The sequence below is a fragment of the Homo sapiens genome, chromosome Y, assembly GCF_000001405.40.
Source record: "Homo sapiens chromosome Y, GRCh38.p14 Primary Assembly".
Taxonomy (NCBI): Eukaryota; Metazoa; Chordata; class Mammalia; order Primates; family Hominidae; genus Homo; species Homo sapiens.
The window spans coordinates 16470050-16490691 of NC_000024.10; positions in this window are offsets into that span (position 1 = coordinate 16470050).

Below are 20642 nucleotides of genomic sequence, written 5' to 3' on the forward strand. Positions count from 1 at the left end.
GTTAGGTAGATGATAGATAGATAGATGGATAGATAGATAGATAGATAGATAGATAGATAGATAGATAGAGCCTCATGGTCTATATATTCCTTTTTCCTCTCCAGGACTGGGTTTCATTTGTTTGTTTGTTTTCATTCTGCTAACTTTGTTTTGGCCAGCATTAAATAAAACAAAGTTAGACTTTGAGGGTCATATGACTTCCTTTAGGGATAGAATAGAATAAAACAAGACTTAAAGAGTCAGAAGACCAATTGTGACTGCCTCACAGAATACCTAGTGTCTGATTTTCCCTTATTTCTCAGTTCACCTTAAAACCTACACAATTAATTCTGATTTTAGATTTCCTAAGTGAACCCAGGTAAGTTGCTTTTTCCTCAAAGGTGAACATTATATCAGTACAAGACATTTATAACCATCTTCTTCCCTAAAGCAGGTTCCTTAATACTGTTTACTGAGATAAACTTCCATATAAAGTCATTATAATTCTGCTGGGGAAAAAAATGTAGAAATAATTCATTTTTTATTGTTTCATTTCACTAATAGCCTTATGAGAATCTCACCTTCAATTCATGGTTTATTCATTGTCTAAACTGCTTCTCTAAGCAGTTGTGAATCCCCAAAGTTTGAGACAGATCTCAGTTAATTTGTAAAGTTTATTTTACCAAGATTGAGGACACACATCTATGACGTAGGCTCAGGAAGTCCTGACGACATGTGGCCATGGTAGTTGTGGCACAGCTGGCTTTATATATCTTAGGGAGACATGAGACAATATAAGTAGTACATTGGTTTGGTCTGGAAGGTGGGACAACTTGAAGCAGGAAGACTGGAATCCAGGAGGGGACTTCCAGGTCACAGATAGGTGAGAGATGAACAGTTGCAGTCTTTTGAGTTTCTGATGAGCCTTTCCAAAGGAGGCAATCAAATATGCTTTTCTCTCTGTGAACAGAGAGATAACTTTGAATAGAATGGGAGGCAGTTTTCTCTAAGCAGTTTCCAGCTTGTGATTTTCTTTTACCCTAGTGATATGGGGGACCCAAGATATTATCCTTTCACACAGTCAAGAAGGGGTAATGGTACTTCACATAATTTTTAGAAGTTTGAAAGAAAAAACCAAACAAATTTCCTCTAATTTCTGTACATCTGGTTATTTTTAAGGACATTGAAATAACCAAATAAACTCATTTTAAAGTGATTTTCATATACCCATGTATGTTTATTTCTTTTTCAAGTAATTTGTTAGGTAAGTACCATCACAATATATTTTGTTCTTACTGTAGGAATGAACAGTGGAACACATGATTTTCATGTCAGTTGAGTGAAAACACTCAGAATATTTATACAAGAGACCCTGATGCCAAGACATGTGGAAGCCTCAGAATCATTCTCCTTGATGTCCTTTTAGTAAAACTTGGCTGCAAGGAGTGTTCAGGCTTTCTCCTCAATTGACTGCTTGACTTCATACTTGGAAAGGATCGATAGTGTTATTGTCTCCTTTAATATTTGCTGTCTTTACTTTTGGTCCAAGATTTTTTCACCCTTTCTGTAATGTATTTCTTTGTATTCTTGTTCTAAATAATCTCCAATCATGAAAGCTATCAAACAAAGTGTTTGTGGATTACAAGATCCTTAGAAATCTACTCCATCATCTATCTCATTTAGTTGATTTCAAGCATGTGCATACTCCATATTTAGAAATTTTAAAGAAAAAAATAAACATAATCCCTGTTAATGGGGAATTCAACCCACTATTAATGAAGAATTCAACCCACTATTTTCTACACTAGCCATTCTTGAGTGTCACTAACCTTTCCAGCTTTTTCTCTTGGAGGTCTACCATCAGGAGTTCCCTGGGAATGTATCCTAAGATCATGTAATCTTAGATCATTGTAACTGCAAATCATGGGGAAAGTAAACTAGTTATTCTGAAGGATTGTTGCAGCAGGTCCATCTCTAGACCCTGAATCCTTTTCTTATTATATCCTTTTTCTTATTATATTCTCTCTTATTATGTCTTATTATATACTTAATATATTTTATCATAGCCTTATTATATCCTTTATATTATTATATCATTTCTTATTATATATCCTTATTATATTCTCATATATATTATATCTTTATAATATTTCTTATTATAACTTTATTATACAGTAAATCTTTCATGTACTGTATTCCTAAAAGTAGTATATGACCTTCAATTCACAACTCTTTCATTTAGTATTGTTGAAAACTAGGGCTAAGGAAAGATTGATGAAAAACAAAGATCACCGGAAGAACATAAACACTTCACAACAAAGAATGCCTTAGGTATTCTTTGTAAGTATTTTCGGTCTTTCCTCCCCACATATATCCAGATTTCTGTAACTATGTAGCAAATATCTCCCAGTTTAAAGTTTTATTTTTTTTTCTTCTTAGATCCTATAAGTTCTTTCTAAACAGTGCCAGAAACCTTTTGATTTTGGTCACCAGGGAGACAGCATTTTTCCTCAATGTACTTACAATCTATAATGGAATAATAAATAACTTGTCAACATTTAGAGACCGGATTCTGTTGGAATTCTGTAAAACAAGCCTCTCAAACAGTAATGTGCTCATTGGTCACCTGAGGATTTTGTTAAAATGCAAGACTTGTATAGCATGTCTAGGATGGAGCCTGGAATTCTGGATTTCTAAGGAGCTTCCTGGCAATGTTATTGCCTTCAGGCCTTAAAATTGTGCTTTTCAGCAAGGATTTAGAGTATTCTTTCCAAAATTGACACTGTTGTAATAGTTTCCTGGTGTACTGGTTTTCCATGCAGACTTCTAGGCTTTTCATATAAAGGTTTGGAGTCACGAGATCTGGGGAAGCATTTCTAAAAGTGTTTATAGGGTACCCATTCCTAAGCAGGGGCAGTTCTGCCTCTCAGGAGAAACACTTGGAAATGTCTGGAGAGATTTTTAGCTGCCATGATGGAGGTGGGAAGGACACTACAACCAGTGTCTCCTGGATAGCAACTAAAGATGCTGCTAAAAAAGCCCAGGACAGCCCCTGCAACAGAAAATATTTTAGCCCAAAGAGTCCATCATACTGAAGTTGAGAAATTACAATTTATGTGTTAACTTATTACTCTCATACATTCTAAAAAACCCAATCCACAGAATAACTTATACACCCCTATGTAATTAATTTATTTCCCTAACTCCTGTGCCTCTCCCTTACTCTGTTCCAGCCTCACTGGACTTGTTGAGGCTCAAAAGCATTTTCACTTGCCCATCCTTACGTTGAAAATCCCAAACACCTGCTCACTCCTTTCCCCTTCTGACTTTAAGTTTTGTTTTATTTTTCTGGTATTAGTCTCCCTGCACTGGAAAGTAAATTCCAAAATAGCTGAGTAGTTATACTTTTTGTTTGGCTGCATTTGAAATCCCTAGGACTGGTTGATGAATAAATTATTGTATGCCTCAGAATGTTTTTCTACTTTAGATTGGACAAACGTAGGCCATCCTGCTGCATAATTTATTGCTGAAAAAATAAAGGCCAAAGTACTTGCTCAGAACCCAGAATCCAGAATCCAGGAGTCACTGATTTAATCTCACTGAAGGACTTTGGGAGGCCAAGGCAGGTGGATCATCTGAGGTCAGGAGTTGGAGACCAGCCTGGTCAACATAGTGAAACCACGTTTCACTAAAAATAAATAAGTTAGCTGGGCAAGGGGCACATGCATGTCATCCCAGCTACTGGGGAGGCTGAGGCAGGAGAATCACTTGAACCCAGGAAGCAGACCTTACATTGATAGAAGATCTCACCAGTGGACTCCAGCCTGGGCAACAGAGTGAGGCTCTGTCTTGAAAAACAAAACAAAATAAAACAAAACAAAACAAAACAAAATAAAATAAAATAAAATAAAATAAAATAAAATAAAATAAACTCACTGAAGGATGCCTTAAATCAAGTGGTTCCAATCAGCAGTGTCACTTGGGCATAAAAGCAGGCTCTCAAAGGTAGGACACAGCAGCTTTGATGTGTTTATAGGAAGTAAGAATGAAATACTATCCCTCACTCTGTGACTAATTGTAATTGAAATACATGAGGAAAGGGGCTGACAGGAGTGATACATTTAACAAGACACATGGGAATGTAAAAAAGGAAGAAAGATGCAAACTGTTGCCTATAGAAGTTCCCACCTAGAAAAAGGATAACAGATGATAAGGATCTCCCTGTGAAATTATTACCACGGTCTTACATCAGCATAGCTTCCAAGGGTGCGTCATGACTCTGATCCAGGAAAGAATTTCTATTTCTTGTTAAATGTCATCCTTGAGGACACTATTCTGTGGCAAACAACCAGGCAAAGGACTCAAAAACCCTAAATGTGAACAGCAGAGGCACAACACTAAATGTTTTCTCAATTTCTCAAGAGATATCCTCTTTCCTGGATTCTTCTATTACGACTATTCCTACTACGGAGAATCCTTCAAATTCATTGAAGTATAGCTGGAAAGAGCTAGTAAAAAAAGTCTGACATACTCCATAGCCCTCATAATCTTTCTGGGAAATTCTAGCCACATATAGTCACAGAAACATATGGAGAGGACTAGATATGATGTCTAACAAATGTCAGAGAGATTTGTGTTATAGGACACCAGGTCTGTATGCCTATTGCATATTAACAGGCCAGTACACTGAAACACCGGAGTTTGTGGCAGAGAAATAGTTTAATGATCTCAGGGTGCAAAATGAGGACATGAGTGTGTATTAGTCTGTTTTCACAGTACTAGAAACAACTACCTGAGACTAGGTAATTTATAAAGAAAAGACGTTTAATTGACTCACAGTTCTGTGTGGCTGGGGAGACCTCAGGAAACTTATGATCATGGCAGTATGTTAAGGGAAAGAAAGGAAAGGGATGTCTTACATGTTGGCAGGTAAGAGAGCAAAGGGGGAAGAGTCTCTTAGAAAGCCATCTGATCTCATGAGAACTCACTCTCTATCATGAGAACAGTGTGTGGGAAACTTTCCCCATGATCCAATAACTTCCCAACAGGCCCTTTCTGACACGTGGGGATTAAAATATGAGATGAGATTTGCGTGGCGACACAGAGCCAGACCACATCAAGAGGAGGCCCTCAAGTTCACTTCCCTGAGGAGTTCTGGGTTCTTGAGGGTATTGTGGAGGGCAGGGGGCTGGAAAGTTAGTGTTTTTGATTTATCAGGGAAAGGGTGATTAAATAATCAGAACGTGGAAGCTGCATTCTCTGGTCAGCCAACTCCTCATGGAGTCCTTTAAAGCAGCTGACATTGGTTGTTTCACTGATATGCAGGATCTGAAAGAATCTCAAAATGGAAAAGTTTAACATTTCATACTGTTGAACCTGTTGTCTATAGAGCAGTTAAGGAAAACTATAATCCAGCATGTACTTGACTCTAATACTAGAGACACCAAATAACCATAAGGTTGAAAGTCAGAAAGCAAGCTGACTTCATAATGAATGGTGAATGGGCTGCAAGCTTTCTTTATTTGTATTTCTCACCATCCCTTCATCACTGATTAATCTTATAAAGTTTACACAGAGACAATGTCAATAGCTTTCAGACAGATGCCATTGTCTCCTCTGTTTGCCTTTTGTTTTATGTTCATGTGTAGGTGTTTTCCTTTTGTTTGTTTGTTCTTTAACAGCTTGTGTGTTTGTCTTACTGAATAATGGGCACTATATTCCTGTATTGTTACTTTAGACATAGTCAGCTTTTGAACACAGGTCTTAATGAAAAATATTTGTAAAAAATATGAAAATTTCCTCCCAAGTTATTGTTGAATACTTGCTAGTGCCACCTTTGAAGCAAAAGCCAATGTCAGCAACAGCCAGTATTAGCAACTTTGAATTACAAACTGGCCTTTCTCAAGTTATATGCACTCTGTGATTTTAATTCTCTGAAGAATGATTAGTATTTCTTGTTATCTTACAATAAATTATTAGAAAATATAGTATAGACCAACATATTATAAATTTTCATCCAAGTGTGCATAATAAAGGATACTCTGTAACGGTTCTCTACCCAATGCTTGCTATATGTTTAATAAATTTTGATTTAGTGCATGCAATGTGCTCACAATAATCTAAGCTTTGAAACTCAGCAATGGTCCACACAGACTTAATTCAAGATTCAGAGAAGTGAGCAGAGATAGTTTAGAAACACATTAAACAGTAATTTTGTCAAATACATTACCCGTTTCTAAGTTCTAGAATGATAAAGGTAAAAGGAACCTGTGTGTTGGGGGCTACATTTTGCGTGGAAACACTATGTCCATAGGAAAGGGTTTCGAAAAAAGCTTTCTGGAAATAATTGGAGAAGCAATTAAATGTGTATCTGTGGATATAACATACAGGGAAGTAGTAATAGAATATGTGAGGCTTCTTGAGAGGTGATGTGGTTGTATTTATGAATTTATCAAAATTTTATACATGCATTCATTTTGATGAAGCATTTCACTTTAAATATTTTTTTTTTAAAATAATTGATACACATAAAAAGTATTCACAGCTGGGTACAGCCTGTAACCCCAACACTTTGGGAGGCTGAGTTGTGTGGAATGCTTGAACACAGGAGATACAGACAAGCCTGAGAAACATAATGAGACCCCATTTCTAAGAAATACAAAATTAATTGTGCATAGTGGCATAGAATTGTGTGCCCAGCTACTTAGGAGTCTGTGGTAGGAGGCTTGCTTGAGCCCAATAAGACAAGGCTGCAGTGTGCCATGATTTAACCACTGCACTGAAGTCAGTGTGACAGAGTGAGAACCTATCTACAAATTAAAAAAAAAAAAAAAAGAAGGAAAGAAAGAATTTACTGACTGGTTGGTTGGTTAGTGATGCTGAAACTTTTAAAAATACTTGACAGTGTGGCAACTATGATACATTCAGGTAAAGGACATGCCCATGACACAGTCTCAGGAGATACTGAGAACATGTGCCAAAGGTGGGCAGGACACAGCTTGGTTTTATACATTTTATGGAAACACAAGACATTAATTAATAGGTGTAAGAGGTACATTCGTTTGGTCCAGAGGGCAGGACAACTTGAAGGGTGGGCAGCTTCCAGGTGATACATGGACTCAAATATTTTTCTGATTGGATATTTGTCAAAAGTGTTCCTCTAAAGTCTTGAAATCAATAGAAGGAAGTGTCTGGGTTAAAATAAGGGGTTGTGGAGACCAGGGTTTTATCAGGCATATCAAGCCTCCAGGTAGCAGGCTTCAGAGAGAATAATTTGTAAATACTTCTTATGAGAGTGTTATCAGAGACTCTTCAGAGTCTGCACTATCAGTCTTAAGGGCTCTACATTAATATAAATGCTGGTGAAGTGTGCCTGAATTCAAAAAGGAGTAAAGAATAATGAATCATGTGGCACCACTCATTCCCATCATGGCCTGAATGACTGTTTCAGATTTACTGTGAAATGCTTTCTCTGAGAGGAGGGTCCATTCAGTTGGTTGATGAGCTTATGATTTTATTTTCGATTTATACTCCCCTCAGGTTCACTTTTTTCTCAGGGGGATTTTGTCTATTTGTACATAAGATGACTATCAAGCTACAGGGAAACTAGAACATATTTTTTTCTAGTCATTTTTTTTTTCTAATTTATTTGTACTCTACTGATATCATGCAACAAAGATGGAAGGAGCAACTAGGAAGTTGTTACATCCCAGAATTTCCATCAGAAGCAGAACATCATGCCACCAAATCCACTGCCACCACCGTATTTTTTTTATTTTATTTTATTTTATTTTTTTTTTTTTTTTTTGAGACAGGGTCTCACTTTGTTACCCTGGCTGGAGTGCAGTGGTGTGATCTTATTTCACTTCAACTTCTGCCTCCCAGATTGAAGCAATTTTCTCACCTCAGCCGCCTTAGTAGTAGAGACTACAGGCCTGCACCACCATGCCTGGCTAATTTTTGTATTTTCAGTAGAGCTGGAGTTGCACCATGTTGGCCAGGCTGTTCTTAAACTCCTAGCATCAAGTGATCCACCTGCCTAGGCCTCCCAAAGTGCTAGGATAACAGGCATGAGCCACTGTGCCTGTCCAGCCTCCACCAAATTTTGTATTCTAGTGTGCTCAACTTCTCCTTTGCTTCTCATCTTCACATTCAATCTGAATTTGGTCATGCCAGTTCTTAAATATAATTCCAACAGTGTGTTTATTTAAGTATGGCATTCTTCTCCACTAAAATACAACTTTTGTGCCTCATGTTACCTGCAGCCCTCTGCAAAATGAATAGGGCTCAAAAGGTCAGATGCAGGGGAAAATAAACATTTAGCATTATTGGTTACATTGGCCTTAGTGTCCTGTTTCCAGAGAATTGAATGAAAAAAGTGAAAATGCAATACTTCCATACAGGTGAAACAGAATATATAAAAAGAAACAAAAGTTTTCCTGTACTAGGCTGACTCACTCCAAGATCCAGGGAAGAACAGGGGTTTGTCAAGGCTTTGACAGCATTATCTGCAGAGCTGGGGCCCAGAAGAGAAAGACACCAGAGTCTCTCCCTCACATCCTGGAGCAAGATTGGGAAAAACAAGTTTTGCTCTTTCAGCTTCCCCCTTCCCCCCTTACTATTCTTACACTTATCTTTGCAAGTTTTGTAAGTTCCTGCTTTTCCCTTCTGGGCAGCACAGTGAAGGTCACAATATATGTCTGAGTTGTAACACCTGGCTTGAGTTGTAAAATCTGTCACTGTTTGATAAACTGTCTTTGTTCTGCTTCTGCAAGCTTGCTTACCTGCCTTACAGGTTTTGCACCATTTTCCAAAGTATGTATAAAAGTGAAGCCCTCTCTCTGTTCAGGTCTCAGCCTTTGGATATTAATCCACTTAGCCAATGGCCACCTAAATAACATCCTCCTGTTCCACCCATTGATCTCATTGGTCTCTCGGGTGCCTTAATTCCCTCAACACAGGAACTTGGAAAATAGTACCTCAGACCAGGTGATCAAGGTCAACATCAAAACCAAAAAGAGGGATGCTTCACCTCTCTGGACTTCCTTCTCGAAACATGTATTCTCAGTCTAATTTTGAGAGGCATTGGAACCAAAGTGGCTCCATCTTGAGTGAAAGCTAGGAAATCAAGGCTGGGTCTTGCTGGGCTGCATTTCCAGAAAGTGAGGTATTCCTAGCCTCTAGATGTTTGTGGTTAAGGAAACAAATTCATAACATTTACTAAACAAACCATCTTAAGAACAGGAGCACTCCTATTTTTGCTTTCAGGATAATAATATAGATTCTTACAAAATATAGTAATTAAGAAAATTAATCCTTTATTACAAATCCTTGTAGCAGAATGTATGTCCCCATGATCTATTTTTATCCTGTATATAAGTGAATATTGTACCTAGGGTAAATGCATTCCTCCTAATACTTTCTGGAATGCCCTACTCTGTCTATGGAGTAGCTGTACTTTCAGTACTTTACTTTCTTAGTAAACTTGCTTTTGCTTTGCACTGTGTACTCACCCTGAATTCCTTCATGTGTGGGATCCAAAAACCCTCTCTTGGGATCTGAACTGGGACCACTTTTTGGTAACACAATTATGAGAAAAAACATTCGTTGTATAAAAACTTAGTGACATCCTAAAAATATCTGACTCGTATTCCCCAAAATGAGCCAGATTTTCAGAAGCAAGGCAACTTTGAGTAACTGTCACAGCCAAGAACAGCTTAAGGAGAAATAAAGACTAAATGTCATGTAGGATGTTGATTGGGATTTTGGAACATAAAAGGGACATTAGTTAAACTAAATGCAATCAGAATAAAGTACAAAGATTAGCTAATAATCATGTATCAGCATTGTTTATTAATTGTGATTAATGTACTATAGTAAAGTAAAAACATGGGAAGGGATGAGATGTATAGCAACTCTCTGTACTACATTCAAGATTTTTCTGTAAAGCAAAGCTATTTTGTAATAAACAGCTACCCATTAACAGGGACTTATACGCTCACATGCTTAGCCCTTTGGGAGGCTGAGATTAGAGGATATCTTGAAGACAGGAGTGAAAGACCAGACTCACAACAAAACTGTCATCTCTACAAAAATAAAAGTAAAGAAAAATTATCTGGATGTGCTGGTGCACATCTGTAGTCACAACTACTTGGGAAGCTGACAGAGGAGGATTTCTTGGCTCCCAGATTTCAAAGCTCCAGTGAGCTATGATTGCACCACTGGACTCCATCCTGGGTGACAGAATGACACTCTGTCTCAAAAAAAAAAAAAAAAAAGGAACACTATGAACTTCTCATTCACTGTTATTTCTCTATCTAGATCATGTGGATTATGAAGCTGGCATAGGAATACTGGCTTGTGGAGAAGTAAGTAAAGAGTGACCAATATGAGTAACAAATTATCCTGGTTACAACATGTTGGCTTAGATAAGGCTGTTGGCTTTAAAGCCATAAGATAATTTTTCTCTTGTGAAACCTATAAAGAGTTCCTAATTTCAGTGGGAAACAGATCATTTATCCACTAACTGTATTTCAGTCTATTTTGTCCCTCTGATTCTGGTAAGAGTACAATGATGTTAGGTCTAATTTGAGCACATGCACACTAACTCCATAGCAGACTTCTTCAAAAAACAACATGTGAGTGCATGGATTAAAACTATCTTTGAAAACAAGACCATGGCTAAGTTGATTTGACAAAGGGGTAAAATCCCTGAAACTACAATTTTGTGTTGAACATTAGGAACAAGCAGCTGTGTTTTGCTTTGGGTCAAAGGGTCATAGCATTCAACTTCCAGGCAATCAAATACCTCTTTCAACATTTTCATCCTTGTGTGTATATATACATGGAAATAGCATTCTATCTTGTCATAATTATGTCCTTATCTCTGGGGACAGACTACAGGATTTGAACAACACTCAGTAGAGAATATGGCATTACTAATACTGCTTTGAAATATTCCAAGTTTTCTCTGCAATGTGTAGATTACATTGAATATGAAAAATTTTCCGTGAAATAATGAGTTAATCTCACCTCACTCAACTGCCAATACCAGAGAAACACAATAAGATGTGGCTATTTTAAATTTCACTCCTGATACAAGATGTTCTAGTCAAATGAGTTCACTTCCCAAATTTCATGCAATACATCTTCCTTCACATTTTCATAATTTCTTAAAAATACACCAAATGCTTGTTGAAATTATTCTTACTTTAAAAAATAACTTTTTATTGTAATTGAAATATCTTTCAAATCCTTTTTCCTTTATACTGTTTCCTTTTCATTCCATTAAATGTTGCTTTTTTTTTTCTTTTGTGAGGCAGAGTCTTCCTCTGTCACCCAGGCTGGAGTGCAGTGGCAGGATCCCGGCTTACTGCAACCTTTGCCTCCCTTGTTCAATCAATTCTCCTGTCTCAGCCTCCCAAGTAGCTGAAGCTACAGTTGCATGTCACCATGCCCAGCTAATTTTTGTATTTTTAGTGGAGAGGGGGTTTTGCGATATTGTTCGTGCTGCTCTCAAACTTGTGGCCTCAGGTGATCCACCACCTCAGTCTCCCAAAGTGCTGGGATTACAGGCATGAGCCACCGTGCCTGGCCAAATGTTGCATTTTTGATGACTGTCTTCATTGCATAAAACATTATTGAATGCTCTATATATATTCAAGATTATATATGTGTGTGTGTGTGTGTGTGTGTGTGTGTATTTAGTGAAACTCCATGCAAGTATGAAAATTTCTTTAAACAATTCCCTGTAACAAGTAGTTTGACCATGAAACATTTATTTTTGCTTTACTTTCAGGAATGTTTACTTATGATTAAAAGGGACAGAATTCCAAAGCCTAATTTTATTTATTCATCTGTTTTTAATCTATCTTTAAATGCATTTTCATGTACTGACAGGGAAAAAGAAGCGTATTACATCAAAATTCCAAAGCACTTAACCACTCATTCATATTTTTTTATTTTAATATCCAGGAAACTATGTCCAATTTTCCTTGTATAATTGAGGTGCTTAGCATTTGTAGACTAGAGGCAAATATGGCAAAGATAAAATAAGTCCAAATTACAAGTCCAGTTTAAATGCTGTTATCTTTGTATTTATAATATAGTTTTAATGAGATAGAGAGAGTAAATAGCTAACAGTAGTTTCATGGGAGAGAGCAGTTGGTTGAAAACATTCATTTATTTTATGAAAAGTAGGAAGAAAATAAAAAGCCCCATGTTAATTTTAAAATAAATATTTCAGCTTTGGCTCTTAGTATTTTGTGCAAAATAGGCTAAATATAATTTTCTCTGAGTTCTGCCTAAAGTATTAAGGCAATGTTTTGGCACAGGCTAAAATCCAAAGGCAATCACATCTATGTTTTCAGGACTGTGCAATAGTTTTCCAATCATTCTTATTTTGAAATTTTTCCTGTAAACACATATTCCAAACACAGAATTCACCATGACCACTGAAGATACACACATTTTTTGATACTCATCATCACTATAAATTTAGAAGTGTTCCTAGGGGCTCCTTCCCTCCTCTCTGCCCATCTTGTTTCTCTGGAGATTGGATACTCCAACTCCAACATCACCTTTCACTCCTCTACCCCTTCCCTTCACTATCATCTATCATCAAGTGCTACCATCTCTGTCTCACTGCTCACCTTGTTTCAGTCCAAGTGATCTAATATTTGAATGACTGCAATGCCTTCCTAACTGACCCCTTTTTATCTCTGATGCCGCATGAATCTTGATAAGCAAAATAGAACTTGTTCTTTTAAAAGTACAAATGGGTTAATGGTTCTCTGTTGCCTTCTGTCTCAGTCACAGGAAATGCCACAATTCATATGAATCCTATAAGGTCGCACCTGACCTGGTCTTCCCACCCTCCCTGACCAGATCTTTTCCCACTGTCCATTCTAACTCTTCCACTTGCAGCAAACAACTCAGCCTGCCACCTCCATACAGCAGAGAGATACACTCATCCCGGATGTTTGTTCCCATTCTTTTCTCTGCTCGGAATAATCATCCCTCAATTAAGGCTTCCTCCATGGATGTCATCCATCTCTTTCTCAGCACCATTCTATTCTTCACAGCTCACTAGTTGACATCTGACATGGGATACATTTTGTTATTTACCTGTTTGTCTACCTTTTCCAATGCAAATGGGAAGCTCCCTGGGAGAAAGGAAAACTCCATAGGAGAAAGGACTTCTAAGCTTTCTCAGCACTTTATGCCCAGTGCCTAAAAAGTACCCAATCAGCATTTGCAGAATTAATGCATGCAATGGTTGCACTCTCCTCATGATATCTGAAAAGTTTTGATGCTTTTGTCTGAGTGGGCACATGGGCAAGCAAACTGATATGACACAGGGAAGTCTTCATACAAAGAATGTCCCCTTCCACCATGTGATCCAGCAAGTGCACTTCCAAAAGAAAATAAATAAATTTATCAAAAAGATACCTGGAGCTGTATATTTATCCCAGCTCTATTCACAATAGCAAAGTTGGAGCGTGTAATCTGTGTCCAGCAATAGATGATTGCATAAAGAAAATGTGTGAAATGGAATACTATTAAGCCATAAGAAATAACAAAATCATTTGTTTTGCAGCAACATGTGTAGAACTGGATGTCATTATGTTAAGATAAATAATGCAGAAACAGAAAGTCAAATACCATATCTTCTCAGTTATCATTGTGAGCTAAATAATGTGTACACGTGGACCATGGACAGAGAGATGGGAATGATAGTCATTGGAGACTGGGAAAGGTGAGAGGGTGGGAAGAGAGAAGATGATGTGAAATTAGTTAATGGCTAAAATATGTGTTATTTGGGCTACAGGCATCCTAGGGCCCTGATTTGACTACTGTGTAATCTATGCATGTAACAAAATTGCACTTGTACCTCAAAAATTTATAAAAAATGTCTCCTGCTGTAGATTTTCCAGGAATATTGCCAGTGATGTGGGCTGATGAGAAAGGTCAAGCCTCCACCTATTATTTCACCTTGTCTTTTAAATCCTCATTCTGCCTCTTCACTCTGAAGCTCTTGTCTTTTTCCAATATTTTTTAGTTACTATTTGTTTCTGCTAAAATTGCAAATTAACTTTCCAGGTCTTGGATTTCTTCAAATGAAAGTATAAAGCAATTTAAAAATTACTCTGAAAACACACACACACACACACACACACACACACACATATATATATACATATTTATGTGTGTGTTTATATATGTATATGTTCTTCATATATATATATATTCTTCATTTATTAGTTTCAGTGATTCTATTTATATATTTATTATTTCCTTTTGTGATTTTATGTTGTGCTTAATTTGCTCTTCTTTTGCTGACTTCTTAAAAAGAAAGAACCTCTATTTTAAATCTTTAAAAGAATCAAACGCCTGTAAAGCTGTAAATATCCCCCAGGGTACTGCTTTAGCTGCATCCCACACACTTTAATAAGTTAAATGCTGACAGCTTCTTAAGTTTTTGTCCATGACCCTTGAGCTATTTACAAACATTTTCCTTCAATTGTCAAATATTCAAAAATTTTCTATATATTTATTTTTATTGGTATTTAACTTAATTGTTTTTTAATCAATGAATATGCCTGATAAGGTTTTGAACTTTTAAAATGTATTATTATTTATTTTGTGGCCCAGAATATAATCTGTCTTTGTGAATGCTTAATGTGCATTTGATGATCAGATACATTCTACAATTTGGGATGAATGTTCTGCAGATGTCGACTATTTCAAGTTTTTTGATAAGATTACATAAGACATTTCTATCTTCACTGATGTTATGTTTGTTACATCATTTACTGAGAAAGGAGAACTACAATCTAACCCTGTAATTTTGAATTGGACTGTTTTCAACTCTATTTCATGTTAGAATTGTACTCTATTTTTGAATACCTATTATTGTTTTCATACATGTTTCTTATTTACATACTTTACTGATGCATTGATTCCTTTCTCATTAGAGAATATCCTATTTTGTATTTGGGTTCCCTATTTTGTTTTTTTGTGGTCTACTTTGTCAGATTTTAATATAGCTACCTCAGATTTATTAGGCCTAAAGTTTGCACAGTGTATCTTGCCAATCAACTTATTTAGAACCTAATGGATTCTAACCATTAATACATGTCTCTTGTAAATAACATGTTGTTAGATTTTTATTTTTATCCAGTCTATTTATTACATCCATATATTAAGGTGTTTAGGTCATTTATATTTTTTACCTAATTTACTGAGGCATAATACATACAGTGAACTGCAACCATTTAAAATACATGGCTTAATGAGTGTGGAAAGACACATTTGCATAACCACATTTTCACTGCAATAAAAATAGAGAACATTTCTATAATTTCAAAACATTCCCTCATTCCCTTTTCCAGCCAAACCCCATCTTTTCCTGGGGCCCCTGGACATCAATGATCTGTTTTTGGACAATGTAAATTGAAAAGCGCTTTCCAGAATATCAAATATATGGAATCATACAAAATGTATCAGTGTGTGTTTATCTTCCTTGGCTCAATATATTGTTTTGAAGCTTTCATGCCTCTGCACAGATTAATGTGTTATTCCTTTCTAAAAATAAGCCCTGATATGATTGCAGGTATATATTACATTTTTAATCTATTTGCATTTTGTTGGACATCTGTCTTCTTCTCAGTTTAAGCTGATTTAGATGTACTTTAATAAATATTTGTGAGCTTTTATGTTTTCATTTTCCTTGAGTAAGTATCAAGAAATAGAATTGCTGGGTTGTATGGTAAATTAATTTTAAAATTTATGCATACTTTCATTCTGTTCCAACCAGCAATAATATTAATTGGCAATCTCTGGATTGGATTCTTCCAATCAAGAAAGTATGGTAAATCTTTCAGTCTTAATATTTGCAGATTTTAGAAATATTTTTGTTTTATATCTCCTTTTTTCTAACATCTATTTATTATTCACCCATGTAACTATTACCTATGCATTTCTCACTTATCTCTATCTCTGTCAAATATCAATCTATATGGCTTCTATTATCTTTCTATCATCCTACTTATATCTATCTGTCATCTATTATCTACCATCTGTCTTTCTATCATCCTATCTCTCTCTCTCTCTATGCATCCATCATGCATCTATCTATGTATCTATTATCTATCTACCTAATCTTTAACCCACTTCACTTGTAATGGCTTTGTTTCTACTTTCTTACAGTTATTTTCTCAAAAACTCAGGTATTTCAAAATACAGATTGATGTCTAAATAAATTATATCCTAGGATTTAAAACCATCAGCTCTCATCACCATTGCTTTCACACTGCTGATCCAATTAGAAAATAACGACCTTCTTTCTGAAAATTTAATCTCACAGTTTGACCCTTACACATAATGCAAGATGTCAACATTTCACTTCTGCTAATTCTTCAAAACCTGTATTTGAGTTCTAATGTCCAAGTCCATTTTTCAGTTATATCTTAATTTTTAACATTGCATCTACTCTTACATTACCTTTATCTAAAATTTCAGAATTAATCTCTGTCATCTAGATTCCATCATCTTTCCGAATTCTTAGAATCCTCACTTCATCAATTTTTCTTCAAATTTTTTTCCTTAAATCATGTCTACTTTCAGGCCTCTCACAACTTAAAAAGGACAAAATGGTACACTATCAACAATTTACTTTTTCTGGCATGAAGCTTATATTTGATAATTCTCCTTACTTTTCTTAACAGCTTATCTTTTGGAGTTGAAACATCTCCTGTCTCAACTTCCTCATTGCTCAATTCACTCCTTAGCCATCCTTAAAAACACGCCTGTTCACCCGTCTTAAAAGTGAAGCATCTCTTGCCAAAATCACAGATGGTTGCATTCCATGCTCCAAATCATACTCTTGCCTTATCATTTCCAATCACTGTAAAATATTCTAGATATTCTCCATCTCTTTGCAAGGCATACCTCTGTGGTGACTGTCTTGACTCTGCTCACTGTGTGCAAATGTTTATGGCATACCCTGGCTCAAACTGAGTCTCCTGAGTTATCTCTGGCTATGCTAATGAGATCTGTTTTCTTGAATTCTCATGCCAAAGAACACATTCCTCCATCTCTGCCTGACAAACCATCAATCCACTTCCTGGCTAATCCCTTGTCATCCTCATGGAGTCAGGTCAGATGAAATCTCTTTCACAAATATCCCCTTATACTTTTTCTGTGAGTTAGTGTCCTAACTAACTAGGATCATGCCTAAAAATATATCAGTATTGTAATCAAATGTTTATTTATTTTTTTCCAGCACATGATTATAATCCTTGAGGAAAAAAACACTGAAAATGTTAGATTTCTTACCTGGGCTTTTCCACTCAGAAGTGGACTTTATCTGGTATAAGCACTCATATTTTGTTTAAAATTGGATGATATTAATTAGCTATGCCTTTTACCTGGAACAAAACTATGCATTATAATTACAATTGTGAATCAGGAAAATGAAATAGAGGAACTTCACATTATTGGACCTGAGTTGGTAAACCACACCAAACTTTGGAGTATTGGGCATGGAAAATGGACCCAGATAGTTCCCATAAAAGTGAAATTTGGGTGCGTGTGTGGGTCACACCTGTCATCCCACCACTTTGAGATGCCAAGACAGGGGAACTCTTAAGGCTAGGCATTCAAGATCAGCCTGGGCAACATAGTGAGACTGTGTGTCTATAATCAATCAATCAATCAGTCAATCAATCTGAGCATGGTGGTGCACCTGTAGTTCCAGGTACTCAGGAGGCTGAGGGGGAAGGATCACTTGAACTGCCCAGCAGTTCAAGACTGCAATGAATTCTGACCATTCCACTGAATTTCTTCCTGGGTGACAGAGAGAGACCAGCTTCCTTAATATCAGTCATTCACAACAAGCCTGGGCAACATAGTGAAACCCTGTCTCTATAAAAAGTAAAAAATTATTGGAGCATGGCAGTGCAACTGTAGTCCCAGATACTCAGGAGACTAAGATGGGAGGACAAATTATGCCCAGCAATTCAAGTCTGCAGTGAGCTATGATTGTGCCACTGCACTTCAACCTGAATGACAGGGTGAGTCCAGATCTCTTACAAAAATATCTAAAAACTGAAATTCAATGAGCACAGTGAAAGCTAGCCCAATTCTGCAAATGGTCTCATTTTCTATGAACTATTCTATCCCTAATTCACACTGAAAAAATATTGACTGCCAAGATGACCAGAAAATTGTCAAAATATCCAGTTAAATTTTGGTCTTTAAATTACAACTTCCATCAATTTCATAAAGAGTTATCTATTATTTTGTTCTCATGTTGATAATTAAGACATATCTGAAACTGGGTGATTTATAAAGGAAAGAAGTTTATTTGACTCACAGCTCAGTATGTCTGAAAAGTTACAACCATGGCAGAAGCAGCAGCAAACACGTCCTTCCTCACATAGTGGCAAGAAGAAGAAGTGCAGAAAAAGCCCTGTAAATAAACATCAGATCTGATGAGAACTCACTCACTATCATAAGAACACCATAGGGGTAACCACCCCATGATTCAATTACCTCCCACTGTGTCCCTCCCATGACATATGGGGATTATGAGAGTGACAGTTCAAGATGAGATTTGGGTGGAACATAGACAAACAATATCAAAGGCTTTGTGAACTCTGGCTATATTGGATAATCCCAGGAATGTTAGAGTAATTACAGTAGTAATAAACCACAAGGAAAAGAGGCAAAAGAAAAAGTATTAACAACAAAGAAGACTTAATATTCTAAAGTTTAAAGAATGTACAAGTATAACTCTCTGCTTGTCTTCTTTATGACAAGGATCTCAGTTTATACAGAAAAAGAGCTAAAGTTTCTTAAAAACAATAAATCGTATAGAGGACATTTTAAAGCACGCTAAAAGGTTTGCTAAAGCAGGCCGTTTCTATAAAAGATGAAAACAACATCAAAATACAATAAATGAAAAAGCAATGATGAGAAAAGAGCACAATGTGGACCATCAGCTGAGAAACCTAGTAAAGAGTAAGGAGCTGCAATCATAGAGATAAAGATGATAAAGAACAGGAAGAAAGAAGAAAATCTGTAGGGAAAACATGAAGAAAGACAGAAAGCATCAGTGTAGAAAAAAATCAATGCAATACAATTTAAAGACATAAAAAAGAATTGGTGTCTAGACAACAGAACTATGCCACCAATCAAACATTACTGATGAAATTTGGACAAACATGTCCAAAATAACTTAACAGCTGAAATCCATCCCTGAAAAGACTCTAGTTATGTCAGCGATACCTAATCAGCCATAATTAAGAAAAAAATAAATAAACTAGGGCGGAAGTATCCTTGTCAAAAAGGTTAGGGTGATTCGTACTCCTTCGGGTTTTTAGACTGGCTTCAGTTTTGTTCTGTGGTAATATCCACCACCAAATAAAAGTGAATAAAACAAATGCAAGGAATGGAGTAAGAACCAAACATTTTTGCAACCAGCCCCTGAAGTTTTTGCATGTTGCATGCATCTCAATATTTTGCATCTTTAGCCCTATTGGGTGTAGAAATAACAGGAAAATATTATTCAATCTAAAGCAAAAATAAACAAAAAACATAACATAATCATGACATTTTATTGTGGACCTTTCTAGAGGACAAATTTAAGGAAAATATTAATGGTCAAAGGGAACGCATATAAAAACATGTGATTAAAGATTAGAAATAGACCTTCTGTATAATTTAAACATACCATTTATATGAAGAAACACTTTTTTCAGTTGCAAGAATTCTTTGAGGTATAGTCTTAGTGAGCTCCCTCAGAATATATTTATTGCATTGCCATTGAGACTGAGTCAATGGAACTTCATGTCCTATTCCTTGTTTGCTGGTGTTAGAAAAGCAAAATGATAAAAAGAAGCACTGAAGTGTGTATGGTTATCGAAGAACAATTCACAATGACAAAGATGTGGAATCAACCTAAGTGCCCAACTGTTGGAGTAGATAACTAAAACATGGTATATATGTACCATGGAATACTACTTAGCCATAAAATGATGAAATAATATACTTTGAAGCAACTTGGCTAGAGCTGGAGGATATTGTTCTAAGTGAAATCAACTTAGGAATAGAAAACTAAATACAATATGTTCTCACGTAATCGGGAGCTAAGCTATGGCTACACAAAGGTATACAGATATAATGGACACTAGAGACTCAGAAGCAGGAAAGGTGAGAGAGAGTTAGGGACGAAAAACTAGATATTGAGGGCCAGGTGCTGTGGCTCATGCCTGTAATCCCAGCACTTTGGGAGGCCAAGGTGGGTGGATCACCGGAGGTCAGGAGTTCCAGATTAGCCTGGACAACATGGCAAAACGCTGTCTTTACTAAAAATGTAAAAACTTAGCCAGGTGTGGTGGCAGGAACCGGTAATCACAGCTATACATGAGGCTGTAGCAGGAGAATCACTTAAATCTTGGAGACAGAGGTTGCAATGAACTGAGATCATGCCACTGCCCTCTAGCCTGGGCAACAAAGTAAGACTCTGTCACCTGCTGCCAAAAAAATAAAGTGCATTAAAATCTCAAAATAACCCCTATACAATTAGTCCAGGTAAGCAGAAACCACTGGTACTCCAAAACAGACTCAAATTTTTAAAAAGAAGCATTGCACTTTAATAT